Source organism: Homo sapiens, chromosome 21 (genome assembly GCF_000001405.40).
Source record: "Homo sapiens chromosome 21, GRCh38.p14 Primary Assembly".
Taxonomy (NCBI): Eukaryota; Metazoa; Chordata; class Mammalia; order Primates; family Hominidae; genus Homo; species Homo sapiens.
The window spans coordinates 34,940,109-34,961,275 of NC_000021.9; the positions used below are offsets into that span (position 1 = coordinate 34,940,109).

Genomic DNA, 21,167 nt, shown 5'->3' on the forward strand with positions numbered 1-21,167 from the left:
TCCGATGGTTTTTTTGCTGTGCATGCCTCATGGGTGGTATGAGTTGAGAAAAAAATGCCAGAAAGTGGCTACTGAGAATCTTGTGGAATGGAAGCTGTCAATGGGATGGGGAAACATTAATGCTTTATGAGGAAAATTAATGATGGCAGTTTCCACATGAGCCCCAGCCTAGACTTCTTGGACCCTAAGTAAAGAGTTCCATGTGATCTCCCAAGTGGTACACAGCCATTCGTTCTTTAATGTCCCAGTTAAAAGTGTTTTATGTTAATCATCAAAATCTAGAATTTCTCAAGCGAAGTTCTAAACACACAGAAAATAATAAATGGCACCCAGCAGGAATAATTTTCCTCATGGTTTTTAACATCAGTTCTCTGATAGCGCAATGCTCATGTTCTTACATGTATGAGTGCAGGTGAATACACATATATACATATACATTCTCTAACCCAGAGATGAATTAAAAAGGAGAATTTTCATCCTATGTGCTTTATGCCCTAAGTCAGAGTTGAGGGAAGAAACAAGATCAGCTACATTGAGTTTTATTCTAGGAGCAAAAGGCTTGTAAACTCTTCAGAAGTCTCTCCCCTAACCAGTTCCACTTAGCCTTGAACTGTGCTGCTCCCCACATGAGGTAAGAAGACGCTTCATCTAGAACTTTCAGAAGTGGTGCAGGAATTTAGACACACTTAGGGAATAGCAGGCATCTCCTCCATTGATCTCAGAAACCTTTGGTTTGTGTTTTTGGCTTTTTCAAAAATATATTTGCTCCCTTCAAGTTGGACTGAAATAAACTCAGGTCTAGGTTGCCTTCTCAATGGCAGCAATGAGCCAGTACTATTAAAATATCAGCACAGAGAACTAGAAATGTCGGATCTTGTCACTGCCATAGAAGAATTGTGGCTACCACTTCTATGCAGAGTATGGAATGGTCTTTCCTCAGGTTCCTGTATGCTAAAGGTCCGGACAGAATTACTCTGTCCCTTTCTCTAGCCTCAGTCATCTGACCAGTGTGTGAACAACAAGAATATCCTCTGATAAGCCTTCGTCCACGATTGTGACAACCCTGTGTTCCCTCTAATGTCCAGGAGTCCCTCTGGCTCCCTTTAGCCTCTGTGCCTCCAGGGTGCCTGTGGTAGGAGCAGAGGGAGCTAGTGACTCCCTGCTGATGCTAACCGTATTCTAAACCACTAGTATAGTCTCCCTCCTTTCCTCCTGGAATTTCTCTCTTCCTGCAGCAACTCCTGGAACTCCTCCTGAATACAATCCACCTGCTGTTTTGTAAGAATAGCTCTCTGTTCTTTCATGTGGGTTCGGATTTTTGCCCAATTCAACACATCCTGAGCAGGGCATCTAACTTCACTACACAGAGAGCCTGGCTGTGAGACACAAAGACCTACACAAACATGGGACCAAAGAAACATACTTTGCTTTGTGGGTCTTAACATAATCTACCAATCGGTCTTTCAAAATTCTTGTCTTCTCATGTATGACATGTTAAGACTCTTACTAAAGAACTCACTTAAATGTCAGCCCATATACTCTACAAAAAAATGTTTTATCTCTATTCACCTCCATTCTTTTTGAAGGTGATTTTACTAAAGCCAGATAACTGAAATATTAATGTATAGAATCTAATTTCTTAATGGTATGGAAGGCTGAAAATAGTTTTATTGTTTGATGTTGAGCTATAGATGATGATTTCTTTTTCTTTTATTTTTTTCCTTTTTTTTTTTTTTGAAGGTTGGAAGATTCTTTAATGAGAGACATATGCAGCAAGTTAAAGCTTGTAAGCTTACTTCATCTCAGTAATGCAGAAAACTCCTTAAACTGTTGATTTTCTTTTGGAGGGCACTCTGAACTATGCAAAATATCATCTGATTCCTCAAGGAAAACTAGGAAACAATGAAGAAAAAGTACCTTCAAACTTTATGAATGTCTCGGCCACCCCCTGCTGCATCCATCAAATACCAGATTGAATTAGTGAGATTCAAATACCAGAGATTTTATGGTAATGGGATATTTAGAAATCATTCCCCGAGGTTCCGCCTATGTTGGAGTGAGCCTGTGTGCTCACAGTGATAGAATTTGGGGCTAGATCCCAGTGTTGGTTCAATTATTAGGCTAGGTGATCTTCCACAGCTTATTTTAAATTGCAGTTTTCCAAGATTTATAAGACTGCATTTTTGGACTTTCTCTAATGCACTCAAGCAAAAAAAAAAAAATCATTTGCCTGTACACTGATGACTATACCTGGTAAGGCTATATAAATGTGTACAAATTTGTACCAATACTTTAACTTTATTGGTTCACTTGCAGGTTTCATAGTCACTTGACCGTCATTCACCATTTACCTCCAGATGCCTTTCTTCCCTCTGCTCTGAGCTCAGGTACAAGTGTCCATTATTGCTCTAAGAGCTAGTCTTGACTGGGCTTAATTGATATTTCCATTAGTCTGATGAATACAAATGGCATTAAATACCAGGATCAGACACAAAGTGAATATGAGTGATCCTTTGCAGCCACCTGGGAAGGGTGAGTGGGGATTTTTAAGGCATAGTGGTGAGGACAATTAGCAGGGCTAATGTACCCTTTCCATGGTTGAGATGACACCAGATGCCCCTCTCTTGCTGGCATTCAGTGCACAATGAAGTCTGCATTGATCTAGATGGCAAACCACATTGGTTTCAGAGCCAGGAGGCTCCACTCAGCATGGCACAACTTTGTGTTATGAGAGGAAAAGAGTGAGGCAGCAAGTGAGCTTAGAGCCTTGGGTCAGGTTGAAGGAAAGTTTCCCTCTTTCTCCCCGGACCAGATGCACATATCAACTGTGAACCCTGAAGTCAAGTCAAGCTCCTAGGACTGCCTCCCTGTGTTGGGCTGAGGGCAGCGAGTACGCCTTGGCAGCTTTTAACCCGTGTCCCTTCTGCCTGCATTGGCACGCGGTCAATCTCTGAGCAGTTGGGGGATATGGAAAGCATAAAGGGGAAGGATCCACAGGGACAATCAATCATGTCATCAAGATCAGCTTCTGAAGGAAACAAGCACAAATGCTTCAGTGAAAACAAACTAATTTCATTCTGACTGTTCTACTGTTCGGGGTTTTATGACTGTGTTTTTCACCCTGTGTGGAAAAATACAAAGAACTGCCCAGGAACTGAAAAACAGAAAAGAATCTGTCTTGAGGAACATTTCCCCCTTTAACTTCTTTGCTGTCTTTACCAGATGTACCCATCCAGGCTCCAACATGAACCACACAATGGACCTTAGGCCCATTCCAGCACACAATAACTCAACAAAGGATGCTTAAAACATTAAAAGGATCTTTACTATCCTCTTGGCAAAGTACTTCACATGAATTGCCAGTTTTCCAGTTGTTACACCAAAGAAAGATAAGGGGATCAACGGATCAAAATCCATCTTACTTCATACAAAAGACAGAAGTTGTTATAGAAAGCCAATATGGCTTGGGGAGGGAACATGGAGTCAGTCCCGGTGTGGGGTCAATGATTTTACCAGGTGATATTCCTTCAGTTGTTTATGTTGATGTTTTTTCACCCCCTAAAGAGACTCAGAGATAAATAAAATTCAGTCTTTGGGGTTGCTCTAAAGCACTCAAGTAAAAATTACCTGATTATTGGCAACTGGATTTTGCAAAATTGTGGGGAGAAAATTTGGAACCCTCGCAAATCCTCCTACACAAATGTTGAGCTAAATATTTTCACTTTATGCTCGCCTGACAGAGATAGTAGTGGTGAAAGTTACAGAGAGATTTGCCGATATAGAGCATTTGCTTATATCACACCCTTTCTCTTTTCCCCAAATCTTTTCCTTTTTAATAGCGTAGGAAGAAAAAAAAGGAGTTTAAGGAAATAATTTCTTGTGCTTACTATAGCCCTCAAGACTTTTTTTTACTTTTTAAAGATGAGGTCTTGCTCTGTCACCCAGGCTGGAGTGCAGTGGTGTGATCACAGCTCACTGTAGGCTCAAACTCCTGGGCTCAAGTGATCCTCCTGCCTCAGCCTCTCAAGTACCTGGGACTACAAATGCATGCCACCAGGCCTTACTAATTATTTTTGTCTTTTGTAAAGGTGGGGTCTCACTATGTTGGCCAGGCTTGTCTCGAACTCCTGGACTCAAGCAGTCCTCCAGCTGGCCTCCTAATGTGCTGGGATTACAGGCATGAGCCACTGTGCCTGTCCCCAACAATTTTCTTATTCTTTGAGTTTCTCACTCGTACTAAACAAAACTAGAGAATTCCCCTGAATTACACAGGAATCTGGGTAAAGTTGTATAGATTCAGACCATGTGATACTTCTTCAGCCATTCTTCTGAGAATTTGGCAAGGAGACTATAAGTTTTGATTGGTTAATATTTGTGTGGGTACGAATGCCAGCACTGAAATATGTGGTTAAATATTGTATTGCTTTGGGTGGTTGGCCTCATGTGAGTGCTTCCTCTAGCACAAATGTCATTTGGCAAACTTGGTTCTCACAGTTCAAATGAAATCTATGGAGGAAGAGGAGAGCCTGTCGTCTCCTCTTAGGACAGATGGCACATGCTGCAGTGTGAATGGCAGAATTGGGGAGGCCTAGGTCTGGGTTTTTGTGGCTAGAGAATATACTAACCATCAGAATCATGTTGTGGCCATTAATAGGATTATCTTATTTTCAGTAATTACTAACTATACTATATGAGAGACAGATAGTATAATAACTAATGACTAACTATATGAAAGACAGTTTAATGTTAATACCTCCACTCTGAATGAATTGCTTGTTTAACAGATGGCTTCTGACTTATTGGGAAGTTGTTAGAACATCAAAGCACAGTTTATGAGGCCTGGCAAATTATGTATCTGAGTTTAGCCTTTTGTTTCCAATGTTACCTTCTAAATGATCTGTTTCATAACTAAGATTAATATGAGCACAGTTAAATAAGTTATTTCATGGAGAACAGGCATGCCAATATAGATATTATCAAGATGTATAATTTGCCAAAAATATTTGTTGAGTATCTGTGATGTGCCAGCCATACAGTGGTAAACATTTATTGATCACTTACAGATATGAACTATAGTATGCACACATCTACAGTTTCAGATGGACTATAGTATCATAGTTACATAAAATACAGCCAAAGGCATCCTAGAATTTTTCTTTTTCAAAAATAAAACAATTCTACAATCTCACAAACATATTCGGGTCCATTTCTCTGTGCTTACAAACATGCTCAGGCTTGCCCAATGAGTGGAACCCACCATCCTTTGACCTTGGCCTTGCAGCCTAGTTTCTTTGAGAGTACATTTTCCCCTACCAACTCCTCCGCCACATACCCCACAAAAAGCAGCCTCATTTTCCACCTCCAAATTCTCACTATCTTCCACTCCTCAGCCCCAGGAACCTGCTTTTTACTCCCACTGCTCTCCTGAAATTGCTTTCTCAAATGTCAAAGTACCACCAGTTGATTCAATTCTTCCCTCCCAGACTTCTCTGCAACACCCTTGAAAATGCCCTCCTTGAAAAGCTCTCTATCCTTGGTATGTTCTCCACACTGTGGCAACTCGAGACTTTTCTTCACCTCTCTGACAGTTCCTTTCATCTTCTTTGTTCTTGCTCCCTAAAGTAAGATTCTTTAAGGCTTTCTTTGCTCTCTGTGTACAACCTTCTTGTAGAATTGGGTATTTCCTGGGCTTTGACTATTGTATCTATGAATGTGAACTATCGAAGCTCTTTCTCCAGATCTGGCTTCTCTTCAGACTCCAGTCCCATGTCTTCATTTGCTACCTGGAAGCCTCACCTCATGATGAGTTTGGGAACTCAACATATCCCAAAGCAAACTCATTGACTGCTTCTCACCAAGGATCTTCTCTTCCTGGTTTTCCAGGTTTGGATGCGTTCTCCTGTTCTCCTAGAGGGTTCTCCCTCTTAATTAGTTGCCCAATTCTGTCCATTCTACCTTCACTATAACAAGTGACTGTCCCACTTTTAGTTAGTCCTGCCACCTCCTCTCTTCAGCTCTTCATGAATTCCCTCTCTGAACTGCTCTCCCTCATGCCAGTCTCTTTCCACTCTGTTCCGTGCCTCACACGTTTTGCAGATGAACCTTGCCAAAGAAATGATATCACTGTGACATTTCTGTCTTCACAAATGCCTTATTCTATCCTGACCCTCCAAATTAATGTTTTTAACCTTTTCTCCTGCTCTTTCTCAAGCATGTAGCCATGGTCCCACAAATACCATGGGCTTGGGGGGAGGTTCAGATCACATAGCACATTCCCCTCTCTGTCCCCTTGTATATGCCCCTAGAGCTGTGTGGACTCTCCTCCTTCACACTTCTGCACTTGCCATCCTTCAAGGCCCAGTTCTGTTGACATAGTCTCCAGGAAGACTTCCTCTTTTGGTGATGTTTGAGAAGTTACAATAAGGTGCTGTACTTTTCCATAGCTCGGCTTGATTCATGTGCTATATAAAAAAAAAGACTGTAGAGGGTCTCATAGCAATACAGCAACAGGTGGTTGATGAATCAATTTAGGAAGTGGCTGCTGGGGGCAGAGCTTTATTTATCAAAGGGTACAGCTTTGCAAGCTGAGTGTACAAGAGCTTCCTGGGTCAGGGCTGTCTGGTGACCTACAGACATGGATGGGGTGGCAGTCATAAGTGAGTTTGGGCTGTGACATTTTGGCTTTCTCTAGGTTTTCTCATTTATCACAAAGGGACTGGTAATTCCTATGTGACTCTACATGTAGGCATCACATGTCGCTGAGCTCCAGAGAAAAGGCAAGCTCGTCCACCTTCAGACTCATGCACTTGCATCCCACTAGGTCCTCCCTTGGGTCTGTAATGAGCTACTTCTCCTCACCTTAGTTAAGCAGTTTCATTCTTTACAGACCACCTCAAAGGCCAATTCTACCATGGTCTTTCTTCAACCCATAGTCATAACACTCTCTCCCTCTTCTGGTCACACATGGCACTCTATCTGTGCCTCAAGTGGTTCAATGACTGTTCTCCCTGGCTTTGCATGTGTCATCTTACCAAATGGATTATAAGATGTTTGAGTCTGGAGACTAAATTTTATTTATTATTATAATGCACAATATAGCCCTGTGTTCATAGCTGGAATTTAATACATGTTAGTTGAATAAACATTGAAGGATGAAGTTTCAGATTTTTTTGGCTACCATTACTCTCAGCTATGTTGATGTAATGAAACACGTGTGCCATATAAACATGTATCTATTTACCAATCTGCTGCTCAAATTGATGACTTTTTACAAGGCTTCTAGGTGGGGCAGCTTTTAGAATAAAGATGAACACCCACACGCACACTCTTACATGAGTGACTGAACAATCTCACATTTTATTATTTATAGAAATACATGTGAATATGCTACAACTTAATTTATTTCCTGCAAGCAGAAATCCTTATCATTATAAGGAAGCCCCTGTCTTTTGTTTTTGTCCATTTTTTCCCCTGATGTGTTCATAAACATGTCCCATGGATGGCAGGAATGCACAGCTATTTCACTGGTGGTATAAATAGTTTTCACAGAAGCCCTGTCTATCATGGTAAATGGCACAAAAGACTTTTTTCCTCCACAGAAGCCTTTATTTTTCTCCCTGTATTTCCCTCAGAGGTCCGCCACAGTCTGAAGGGACTTCACAGCTGTGCTGTCTACGAACCCACTCCTAACTTCCAAACTTTCGCCAAAGTGTTTCCTCTGAGGTCCTTATAGAAGCGCTTCTGGACAACGTGGGATGTTGCTAACATTTGGAAAGTGACTGTCATGCTGCGAGGAAGTATTTGCAGGCCTCTGAGTTCAGTCCTCCGAGGACATTTCACCTTCTTTGCTCTCGTCCAAGCCTTAGACCCCAGCACCCAGTCAGCTCCCCTCCTGTGGGTTTTCCGGGCTGCTGTTTCATCTCTCTCCCCATTACCCTCATCATCCCCACTCCCACCCCGACATAAATTCAAAAGAAATCTTTTTTTTTTTTTGGGGGGGGGTTTCACTTTTGAAATGAAGGCTCATATTTCAGCTCTAGATTTAGAATAGGTAAATATTTTTTAAAAAATCATTTCTTCATATAAATTAAAAAGCCAAACATCAATAAGCCAAACATCAATAGCAACGGCAACACCTCTCCAACAACAGCTGCAGAAATTGCCAACGTGCACCTAACCTGACCTCACGGGGCCATGCCGGGGGCCTTGTGGAAGAGGATCAGTCCATCTCTGCCCCACCTCAAGCAAGAGTGACTTGCATTTCATTCCTCTGTATTCATTCTCTCGGGGTTTTCAGCCACAAAAGTACTTTATAAAAGTTCTGTATAGGAACAGGCTCTGAGAGGAGAATTTCTCAGAAGAGGTCCAAGGTGCTTTGCTTAAATTACTCAAGGTTCAGGCTCTCAGGGACAGGGCCATGGCTCACAGGCATTTGCTCTGGGGCTGTGAGAATGTGGGATGAGAATGAGGTGGTATCATTTGTGGATGTGATGGTCTACCCTTCCCTAATTTCCTAATTTGGGAATGACTGATTGACAAGGATGGGGCTACCTGGAGAGCTAGGACAGTACAGAGCAGACCACTTACAGCCCATCTCCAGGGTGCCTAAACAAGGGGATGTGCAGAATTTCTTTCTTTTTTTTCCTTTTTCTTTTGAGATGGAGTTTCACTCTTGTCACCCAGGCTAGAGTGCAGTGGCGCGGTCTCAGCTCATTGCAACCTCCGCCTCCCGGGCTCAAGCAATTCTCCTGCTTCAGCCTCCTGAGTAGCTGGGATTACAGGAGCCCGCCACTGTGCCCAGCTACTTTTTGTGTGTGTGTGTATTTTAAGTAGAGACAGGGTTTCACCATCTTGGCCAGGCTGGTCTTGAACTCCTGACCTCGTAATCTGCCCACCTCGGCCTCCCAAAGTGCTGGGATTACAGGCGTGAGCCACTGTGCCCGGCCGGGATGTGCAGAATTTCTTGCCTGGAGATGTTCATTTATTTCCTTCCCTACCCCATCCCCCCAAACAGCTACACTGCCTGGAGATTTGGAAGAAAGAGATGAACAGATGTGTGTGATGTTTTAGTTACATTTGACCTAAAAGTGGGGGAAATGAGCTAAATGACACACCAAAGTCCTTTTCACTAAACAACCAGTATCAGTAGAGCAAGTTGTTTAAATATTGCCATTAGCCCACTTCTGAGGCTTACTGGAGAGTTTTACTAATGGCAAGATTCAAAAACAGTAACCTCTGTCTTATTGAATAGACGCTCCCCAGCTGCTGAACTGTGAAGTTAATTTCTGGAAAGTGAATTGTGTTTGTCATTTTTAAAAATACAATTTTCTGTAATAAAAGCAGAGATGCAACCTTCAGCAGAGAAACATTCCAATGTGGCTGGGTTGAATGCTTTGTTTGGCTGAGGAATGGTTAAAGTGATGTTTGAGGATGTAACCTACCAGTGGAATGAGGCAAGAGAACTTTGCTTACTACATTGGCCTCCCCTAGGTGTACTTGTTAATTAAGAGTAAAACCACGAAGGTAGCTCCAACCCCAATCGCTGTGGATGCCACACCCGCGCCAGCGAGGGCAGGCTGATAGAGGCTGTGCTAAGATTGCCGTCCTGTCACAGCGTGGAGTGGGAGTGGGAAGGGGGCCTCCTACTCTCATCGTTAGCCAACGCACAACATATGTTCACTAGTCATATCCTTTCTGTCAAGCAAGGAACTAGGCCCTGGGAGTACAAGGATGAATAATACACGAGGCCCTTCTTCAAGGAATTTATAGATCCTTCAGGTAAACCATGTGATGTCCCTCCGAACTGACTGGCATAAAGCGGATGATGGGGCTTTGACATCTTGTGCTGAGAATAACAGAATCACGGCTGAACTGACATCATAGGATCATAGAATTTTATAACATGAAGCAGCCTTAGAGATCGTTCACCAAATTGAGTTAAAATTAAATGATTGTTATAGTTCCTTATAAACTGCCAAATGCTAAACAAACATGATTATTATTTGGTGGAAGCCCCTCAGGTTTTGGAAGGAGAGAGACTGATACAAAGTTAAGTCATTGCAACAGGTCTTCTAGCTACAGTGTTATAGGTATAGCTACATTGTTACACAGCTACATTGTTTAACATTCATAACCCGCATCTTATTTTGTTGTTTAGTACACATAAGTAATATTTTATTTTTCAAATTATATTATAAATAACAGAAATTATGAGAAAGAAACTGTATTGAGGAAATATGGGAAAGTAATTTTGTACTGCAGATCTAGAGTATAATGAACAAAAAGAGCCTATAAGCAAAAAGATTCAAGCTCTTAACAAGGAAATGCCTTGTACATAACTGCACATATAGGCTGGGCTCAGTGGCTCATGCCTGTAATACCAGCACTTTGGGAGGCCGAGGCAGGTGGATCACTTGAGGTCAGGAGTTCAAGACCAGCCCGGCCAACACGGCAAAACCCCATCTCTACTAAATACAAAAATTAGCTGCGCATGGTGGCGGGTGCCTGTAGTCTCAGCTATTCAGGAGGCTGAGGTAGGAGAATCACTTGAAACCAGAGGTGGAGGTTGCAGTGATCTGAGATCTTGCCACTGCACTCCAGCCTGGGAAACAGCTAGACTTTGTCTCAGAAAAAAATTGCACACATAGTTAGGTGATGACTTAGTTACATTTCAGAGAGGATATGTGGTAGGCAGAGTACCTGTGGATGGCCCCCCAAGATTTCCCACCATAAGACCCACAGGTGTCCATCTCTGTGCTAACTTCCAGCGTGGTTTAGGGGAGGCACTGACACTCTGCAGAATCCCAGAAAATATAATTAAAGTTCTGTTTATAAATCCTTTATTGACATTTAGTGAACGATTGCAGTGCTACTGATGTAGTGCTCTTTAATAGCTCATTATGAAGTTTGTTAGAAGAGACATTAGCAGCAATTTGTCAATAGCCTCTGGAAGTCAAGTGACAAGGTATGCGTGTTTTACAGTGCTGCCGAGTGTTAGACATATCCTTGCAGGTGGGGAAACTTCATCCACTTATCTGCCCAAGGGATAGTTCACATGGTGACTCAGATGTTTTGAAGCCACACCATAATGTGTTCTAAAAGTCGGCGAGAGGTGGAATGACAGCAATCCCACCAAAGTGGCCCCTGTCACTCAAACTTGAGAAGCTGCATGGAATTCCTTTTGTGTCATTCTAAAAAACTATAATTCTTTTGAATAGGATAATTTCTTTTAAAAATATTATGGAAGCTCTTTAGTTTAATTAGATCCCATTTGTCAATTTTGGCTTTTGTTGCCATTGCTTTTGGTGTTTTAGACATGAATCTTTGCCCATGCCTATGTCCTGAATGGGAGAAAATTTTTGCAATCTATTCATCTGACAAAGGGCTAATATCCAGAATCTGTGAAGAACTTAAACAAATTTACAAGAAAAAAACAAACAACACCATCAAAAAGTGGGCAAAGGATATGAACAGACACTTCCCAAAAGAAATTTATGCAGCCAACAGACATATGAAAAAATGCTCATCATCACTGGTCATTAGAGAAATGCAAATCAAAACCACAATGAGATACCATCTCACACCAGTTAGAATGGTGATCATTAAAAAGTCAGGAAACAACAGATGCTGGAGAGGATGTGGAGAAATAGGAAAGCTTTTACACTGTTGGTGGGAATGTAAATTAGTTAAACCATTGTGGAAGACAGTGTGGCGATTTCTCAAGGATCTAGAACTAGAAATACCATTTGACCCAGCAATCCCATTACTGGGCATATACCCAAAGGATTATAAATCATTCTACTATAAAGACACATGCACACGTATGTTTCTTGCGGCATTATTCACAACAGCAAAGACTTGGAACCAACCCAAATGTCCATCAATAATAGACTGGATAAAGAAAATGTGGCACATACACACCATGGAATACTATGCAGTCATAAAAAGGATGAGTTCATGTCCTTTGCAGGGACATGGATGAAGCTGGAAATCACCATTCTCAGCAAACTATCACAAGGACAGAAAACCAAACACTACATGTTCTCACTCATAAGTGTGAGTTGAACAAGGAGAACACATGGACATAGGGAGAGGAACATCATCCACCGGGGCCTGTCGGGGGATGGGGGTCTAGGGGATGAATAGCAACCCATTAGGAGAAATACCTAATTTAGGTAATGGGTTGATGGGTGCAGCAAACCACCATGGCACGTGTATACCTATGTAACAAAACTGCACATTCTGCACATGTACCCTAGAACTTAAAATATAATAATAATAAAAAAGAAAATATATACATGGCTATTAAAATTGGAAAAAAAATAGTATGGAATTGGCCTGTCATTATACGGGGGTACCTGAGGTGGCAATTTGGCACCACTTGGTACTTTTTATTCATACGTGATAATGTCTGGCATGGAATGGGGTCAATATATATGCTTTGAAGGAGTGAATTTATATTTAAGTTTGCAATAGCTTTATGATTCTACAGCTCTCTTATTTAATTATTTCATTTAATCATCTCTTCAACACCTCTCTAGAAGGTAAAAAATAATGTTCTCATTTTACAGAAAAAGAAATTGATATTTGGGACGTTTAATATAACCAAGATGCATAGGTCTGTGCAGCTGCTCTTTCTTCTCACTTTCAGGTCATAATTACTGTTTGCTGGGAACATACTGGGTACTGGTGTTAGGCAGGTCTTTTGTTTCTCATTAACTACCTCCTCACACCAGGAGGTATGTAGGTCTTTTTATCTTCAGATGAAGTCTCAGTGAGGTTATGTAATTTGAGCTGAATCACACAGGCTATGTCTGATCAAGCTGGCATCTAATCGCAAGGCTTGCTACTCAAGAGGATGTGGCCTTCCTGCCATCACCCAGCTGCCCTTCCAACTGAAGTATAAGGCTATTGCTATTTCCATTTTTAAAAATCTGACAGGCACAAAGCACAAAGGCACAAAGACTTAAGGGATGGCTACAGTTATGATAGTTCAGTCAAGAAGTCTCTGTTTTGGGGACTTTTTTTTTTTTTAAATCTACGTTTTACAGCATTATTATGCGTCTACGTGAACTTAATTTAATGCAACAAGCGTTGACAAGTGCCTGTTTTGTGCAAATTCTGTGTGATACCCAATGTCCATTTCCTATTCTTCCTTTCAAAAAGTGGCCATAAACAGAACCCTGATTTTGTTGAGGATAACAGTGTGCTTAGGTAAGAGATGTCATTTCCCATCATTTCATGTAGCTTGGCACAGTCGTGTGAATAACTTCTGCATGCAACCCCCAGGGAAGCTTTCTAAAGGGCCTTTTCCTTCCCTTTCCTTCTGACTGGAATGTGGACATGATGTCCAGAGCTCAGGCAGCCATCCTGGGCCACAAAACATCATTGTGAATGGATGCCAAGTGTTGGGGATGATGGAGAAGAAAGATATAAGGAGTCTAGGTTTTTGATGACATAGTGGAGCTGCCCAGTCAGCCTTGGGCTACTTACAACTGGAATTACCATAAGAAAGAAATAAACTTTTATTTTGTTTAAATGACTACTTTCTTCTGATCTCTAAATGCAACTTCTAACTTATGGAGTTACAGGAAAGCTGGAAAAGATATATTTATTAGTCTTTAGGAAAGACAAATCCACAACTCACTACAGTATGGTCTGAATGTGACTTGATCCAATGATCTAATGAAAACATAAACTCAGTGGGGAGCATTCCAGAGAGAGAAGAAATTAATTCTGCTAAGAAGAAGGTATCAAGAAAAGCTTGTTGTACCTTGGATGGAGGAAGATAAGAAGTGGAACAGAAAACTCAGTAAGCAAAAGAAAGCCTGGACTCCAAGAAGTTGAGCTTAAGTGATGGCAAGTTGGTTGCAAAAAAATGGCTTTGATATTTCCAAAATGATTTTCTTTAAGTTTTCAGCAAAGCATTGACTAGTCATAGACTTTTAGACCTTGTTCTGTGGACCCAGATCTAAACCAAACTGCAAGTTTGTGTCACTTGAGATATTATCTACCAGCACATTTAAGTCTCTTTCTTTAAACATATCACTTCAGTGGTGATATCTTAAGCTACAGAAAGAGTCATCTTCCTTTACACATTTGGCTATAATTGAGTAGAGATGACTTTTATAAGATTCAGTCCTACAGTCATAGGCCTGGGTTAAAAAGCTGTCTTTGACTGAAGTGGGAGGAGAAAGGAGAAAAGGAGAGGGGAAATAGTTATTTGGGATCCCTTCTGGGATATCCCTTCTGACTCCTTGTGGCAGGAGTGATTGTCTGATTGTTTCATTGCAGGGGTCAGGCTGGAGCAGAGCCTCAAAGGCAGGAGGGTAAAGAATTAGGGCTCCAACCCCAGGGGCTAACGATGCTAGGGAACTTCAGGAGCTTATGACATATCCCTGACTTCTCCCTCTGGTGTTCAACAAATATCCATGTAATCCTAACCTTTCCTTGGCCTCTCTTACAGTTAGGGCAGGACCAACTAATTAGATTGTGGTTAATGGGATGTAAGTGGGAATAAGCTAACCTCTTCCAGGTTGAGAACTTAAAGGTGTCCTATATTATAATCCCACCCACCCTCTCTCCCCTCACTGTAGTGACATTATATCTTGAATTACAGATGCCATAGCTACAAGGTGGGAGCAGCCTGGGACCCTGAATCACTGCGTGGAAGAGATTCTCGCAGAGGAGAAGTTTTCAAAGCATCTGTCTTTGTGTGAGCAGGAAATAAGCGTTGGTGGTATGAAGACATTGAAACATGGGAATATTTGTGATGGCAGCTGGCATTAATTACTCTGATTTTGACATTACTTCTTGGCAAGGAAAATAAGTGAGAGGTGGTGCACCTTTGATGAGAAGCATGGGATTCGGAGTTGGAAAATACAGCCTTCAGCTTGATTCCTGGGTGAGTTTGGGCAAGTTTCTTAACTTCTTCAGCCCCAGATTTTTATCTATAAAAATGAGAATAATGGCTGTGCCTCCTTCCTAGGGCAGTTTTTTATTTTTCAAAGTATGGTTGCACAGAAAACCTGCATCAGAAATACCCACAGGACTATTACACTGCAAATCACTGTGTGCCCATCTGGAAGCTACCGAATCCAGATCTTTGTGGGTGGGAGGAAGTCTATTTTTTTTTTTTAAAGTTATCCAGGGGACTCTTACACTTACTAAAGTTGGAGGATGATTGTTCTAAGCAGTTGTGAGGATTGCATGAGACAATACGAACAAAGACTTTAGGACTATATCTGGCCCATGGTAAGTGCTCCATATATGGAAGCAATTATTTTTATCATTAGAGCACACTGTGGTGTAGAATAACTTGGTCAGAAAAGCTAGGCAAGTCCATGAAGGGGAAAAAGGGAGATGGCATTACTCTTTCTCAGGATTATAACTCTGAACTCAAAGGGAGCCAAGAGGGCAGGCACACTGAATGTAACCCGATTTGACTTAAACGGAAGACTGAGGCAAATCATTGATGTGTTGAGTATTCAGCAACAGAATAACAACCTGAAAACAGATGAAGGAGAAGGTTGCTGTCCTAACAGCAAAATCCCTTAAGACTCCCAGGCTTTCCGAAGGTGAATTTTTAAGCATTGATGGAAATGCGTTAATGAGCATATAAAATTGTGGTTGAATGGTGACCACCATGCCTGAAGCTCTGTTGAAAAATTATTGACAGCTATATTGCTTATTCCTGTAGTGGTTAGGAAATGAAATGCCTTTCTCTAATCAAGTAATTGCATTAAGGAGCTACTGGGAACATTTGGTTGCTTTTCCGGAATAGGCAAGAAGTCAACTGCACTTCAACCAGGTTAACTGTCAAGAGGAGTTTGGCTCAAATTTCTTTTAGTTCAACTAACATCTTTTTTTTCCTCATGCATATGCAAGCAAAAGTATAAAAATAAATTCAGCTAATAGCCAAAACAAAACAGCACATTTGTAGTAAATCCTGCCTGTTTCTGAAATAAAATTCAGCAAAAGATGTGTTTTTGTTTTTTCTGTTTAAGGGAGAGATGGTGGAGATGTGGGTTTTGGCACAAACCTTAAACCCTAAAATGAGCTGCAACACAGGTGGAGTGAGATGGATTTCCAGTGACTAAGGCAGACAGCGTCATGCCCAGCTTTAACTGTGTGAAGATTCATTGTGAATTTTGCCATAGCCCAAGCAGAAAGAAGATACATTTTCTGGTTACAATAGTTTTGGTTGGCAGAATTTACCTGAAAATTCACTCAAAAAAGTCTCTCATTTGAAAGATGAACTGGTAGAGAATTGTGAACATACAGAACAAGGATATAAGTAGACAGAACACAGTCATTTTTTTGTTGAAGTTGTTACTGTGAAATTTCAAGCTCCTTGGGTCTTCGAAAGGCCACTTTTATGTCTGCAGCTCCATAGAGATACAACCACTGAAATAAAAAACACAGTGACTGGGCCATTTTGTTTACACAGTGCCACATTCTTGGCCAGTCTTGTTTGTCACCAAATGGCCTGATGAATGCTGTTTTGATGTCACGCCCTAGATACCACTTTGTGTTTTTGTGCTCTTGGGCATGAATGGGTGACTAGCTCACTCATGGGCTGTGGCTCTAAGGCCCCTGGTTACTGAGCAAAGTTGATCTGAATTGCTAGAACATTTGAGCCCATTTGCCCCATCCTGCTCGTTCTCCTCCTCTTCCTCTTTTTCTCTCCCATATATACAGTGATATGCAGGGCATACCACTACATCATAGATCTCAGTCCTCAAAGCTTACAAAATTACTTCCATTTGTGAGGTAAACTAACTCTTGTTCCTCAGTCTTGAATTTACCCACCAGGCTTGCTGCAAAGAATGAGCTTAAAAATAACCTGATGATTTCCACGTGGCAGGGCCACGGGTTACAGAGCACAGCCTGTGCCCCTAGGACAGGCACCCACATTGTTCTTTTTGGAAGGAGTGGATCTGATGCCAGGGAAAGGTGACACAAGAAAGAAGCTGGCCACGAAGCCTCTGAGCTTTGTGACCTGATGCTCACCTGACGCATGGCCAGGCTGTCTCCTCTCTGCCAAATAGGGAGAGAAACTCTGACTTGGCCGACATCGTGGGTGTGTTAGGTAATATTTGCCAACTGCTTTGAAGATGAAAAGCGTTATGGGGCACTAAATGTGATAATTATCAATTATAAAACCTCACTACTCCCTGGAACACTAGGGGCGAATGAGCAGGAAATATAAATGTTTGTGACAGGAAGCCAGGAGCCAGGATGGCTCGTGAAATGTGAAAAGTTCAACACACAGTGCCCTTACCTGGGGCAAGCCAGGAACTCATTTGTCTTTGGAAGGTAAATGCTTCCTTGAGCTAACGAGGTGGCCCCCTGAGAGACTACCTTATTAAGTACTCCTGGAATTCTGGGCAAGGGGTGCCTGTGTACCTCTCCAGTGCCACCTGGGTGCCATGAAAAAAATGTCCCACTTGGAGTTTGGCCTGGGCTTTTCCCTCATCCTTTCTCTATTATCCGAGGATAACAGGGTGATAGACTGAAGACCTCTGGGCCGTTCAGATATTCGTACATTCTAGACACACATCATGATGATATTCACACATCATAATCATTGAGCTTTTGCAAGGATCCCGGAATGAGGCACACACCTCCTCTGGCCATTTGATTGTGTTTATAAACTGAAGTGTTCTTGTCTTGGAAATCTTTAGCCTTTTCAGGGTCATCTGGAATCCCGAGGCTGATGTCATGTCCGGCTATCGGCACATGTAGTGTAGGCAGTTTACTCTATGGCTTCATCTGAGGGGTATGGGGCAGGATGTCTGTCCCAGTAGCCAACCCTTTTGCCCGTCAGGCCACCAATGGGAATTTCTCTTGCCAGTGGTTTGTTTGTACAAGTCTCCCAACAAATGCATCCTTGTAAAGGATGGCGGTAAAATAATAACTCCTTCTAGTTCATCTTTTTTGAAAGACAGACAAATTTGGGGGCACTCAGAAGAATTACAATTATTTACCTCCTGTGAGATAAAGGGCTGTCTAACAGGCTGATGTGTGGCCAGGACAAAACAGAGCAGAAACAGTGCCCATTACTGAGCAAGTAGACAACACGGGACTCCAAGTCTAGACACTGCCAGCGCCCAGCTGTGTGCTTATGGCGAACCCCTTCCCCTCCCCTACAGAGGCTCAGTGAACATTCGTAAAATGAAACCAGCCCAGCTAGGCAAATGATTTTAAGTCCTTCCTTGCTCTAAAGACTCAAACAAATTTACAAGAAAAAAACAAACAACCCCATCAAAAAGTGGGCAAAGGATATGAACAGACACTTCTCAAAAGAAGACATTTATGCAGCCAAAAGACACATGAAAAAATGCTCATCATCACTGGCCATCAGAGAAATGCAAATCAAAACCACAGTGAGATACCATCTCACACCAGTTAGAATGGCGATCATTCAAAAGTCAGGAAACAACAGATGCTGGAGAGGATGTGGAGAAATAGGAACACTTTTACACTGTTGGTGGGACTGTAAACTAGTTCAACCATTGTTGAAGTCAGTGTGGTGATTCCTCAGGGATCTAGAACTAGAAATACCATTTGACCCAGCCATCCCTTTACTGGGTATATACCCAAAGGACTATAAATCATGCTGCTATAAAGACACATGCACACGTATGTTTATTGCGGCACTATTCACAATAGCAAAGACTTGGAACCAACCCAAATGTCCAACAATGATAGACTGGATTAAGAAAATGTGGCACATATACACCATGGAATACTATGCAGCCATAAAAAAGGATGAGTTCATGTCCTTTGTAGGGACATGGATGAAACTGGAAATCATCATTCTCAGTAAACTATCGCAAAGACAAAAAACCAAACACCGCATGTTCTCACTCATAGATGGGAATTGAACAATGAGAACACATGGACACAGGAAGGGGAACATCACACTCTGGGGACTGTTGTGGGGTGGGGGGAGTGGGGAGGGATAGCATTAGGAGATATACCTAATGCTAAATGACGAGTTAATGGGTGCAGCACACCAGCCTGGCACATGTATACATATGTAACTAACCTGCACATTGTGCACATGTACCCTAAAACTTAAAGTATAATAATAAAAAAAGACATATCCAAAAAAAAAAAGACTCAATGTTTTTTGAGCTACAGGTCTCCAGTGGTATTGTTAGGGGAACAAAGAAGTGCACTGTGACTTTCCTGGGAGAAGCTACCAGCTGCGTGACCCTGGGCAAGGTACGCAAGCTCTCTGTCCCTCAGTTCCTTCACCTCAAAATGGGGATAACAATGTATCTACCTCATAGGATTCTGAGGATTACACAAGCTAATACTAAGGCATGGAGAACAGTGCCTAGCACATCATAAATGCAGTGTGGATGTTGGTGAATAAATAGAAAGAAAATAAACTACAGATTCCTTTGGCAGTTAGAGAGAGACACAGAGTTAAGGCCCTGAAGTGCATTAAAAATAAGACCAGAAGAGAGAAGATAAGAAGACCTGAACGTACTAAAGAAGCAAATATTTAGAAAAAGTTAAGGAGCTGGAAGCATCTCATCCGGGTTGGGATGAGTGGTGGTGGGTGGTTCATTTCTTTAGGAACCTGAGTACCTGAGGGAGAAAGCTCAGCTGGGAACTGGAGTTAGAAGGAAAAAGTATCAAGAGCACTGAGTGCCTCCAGCTGGTCCTAAAGCTGATAAGCCTAGTCTTCTGGGGAGAGGCTGATCCCTGCTGGGAACCCATCAGTACTGAGGAAGAACAGTGAGGACTAGAGAAGGAGCAATTGTGCAGGGTGGGCAACCTAGTAACAGGGTCAAGGGGGCTACCTGGATGAGGAGGGGAGCACCAGGGGTGTAGGACTGGGCTGGCAGGTGAGGTTATGTTCAGAGGGCTCCAGTGGGAAATCTGGCATGTGGAGGTCGGCTTGCACAGGGGGTCAGCGAGCAGAGACACAGAAGAGCAGAACTCAGTAACACAGGCAGGGGTCCAGCACCAGATCGGGGCATCGGTCACAAGAGAGAAGCTTGGGGCAAAATCTGGGAATTTCCAGGAACACAGCTGTTCTGTGTGTGGTAGAGACTCAACCATGTGTTCACCAAATCCATTTCCTGTTCTTCCTGGGTCCATGACTACAGAAATGTCCTGGGCTCCCTGCTGCCCCGGCTCCCGATAGGTGGAAGCTGGCTTGTGACTGAGTCTGACCAGTGGACTATGAACAGAAGTGGGGAGCATCCCAGGCTTGGTCCCAAAGGCTCCCCTGCAAGATCCTCCACTCTTACCCTTTCCTGCTGACTGGGTGCAGACCAACATGACACGTTTGGGAGATGGAAGAGCCATGGATGGAAGAAGCTTGGGTCACTGAATCTGATTTGGAACACCTATTTTGGAACATACTGCAATAACTACTTAGATTTCTGGATTTTGTTGTTACATCTGTCAGTGTTATAAATGTAAACCAGTAAGCTGAGGCTTTCATGGATAGAATCAATCAAAGGTTAAGGTCAAAGACATTCTGAGACTTGCCCAGCCTTAAGATGAAGCAATAGAGGGCCCTTTGGTGCTTGGTGGCTGCAACCGTGGCTGAGTTCTAGGAGGCAGTTTATTTTTTGTTGCTTGTGTATAATTTTTACCCCAAGAATCCCTTATGGTGCTGGCTGTGACCGATGAACAAACTCTTAGTGTTTAATGTGTGTGTCTGTAAACACAGGGAGAAGGGAAAGCTGCCTGAAGATTGGACAAAGAGCCTTGTAAATGTCTTGGGGTGAATGACAATGGGAAGATTAGGAGGAGTCTGCTGGGGAGCTGCCTGCAAAGGTCCCCTCTTATTCAGGAATTGTATCATCAGCTGAGTCCTTTGGAATTAGCAGACAGTTGTGAAGATAAAATAGTCTTGTAGCATAAGAAGCCGTAGGTAGTCTGGGAGCTATAAAAGCTCCTCATTAGTGACAAGATTTTAACAAAACCAAATAAACTTTAAGAAACAAGGACATTCATGGCTGGGCGTGGTGGCTCACGCCTGTAATCCCAGCACTTTGGGAGGCTGAGATGGATGGATCATGAGGTCAGGAAATCGAGACCATCCTGGCCAACATGGTGAAACCCCGTCTCTACTAAAACACAAAAAATTAGCCGGACGTGGTGGCATATGCCTGTAGTCCCAGCTACTCAGGAGGCTG

The 21,167-nt window shown here is 42.3% G+C and overlaps 1 protein-coding gene across 13 annotated transcripts in view, besides 1 other annotated feature; it reads right to left on the reverse strand.

The window, feature by feature from the left end:
- The window catches only part of RUNX1 (RUNX family transcription factor 1), a 261,502-nt gene that overhangs the window by 152,308 nt on the left and 88,027 nt on the right, over positions 1 to 21,167 (reverse strand). The window lies entirely within an intron of this gene.
- Positions 20,480 to 21,035: an enhancer, noted in NCBI's record as "NANOG hESC enhancer chr21:36332885-36333440 (GRCh37/hg19 assembly coordinates)". NCBI's record gives its function as "activates a minimal SCP1, AML or CMV promoter by ChIP-STARR-seq in primed H9 embryonic stem cells {active_cell/tissue: H9 hESC(primed)}" and the evidence as "EXISTENCE:reporter gene assay evidence [ECO:0000049][PMID:30033119]".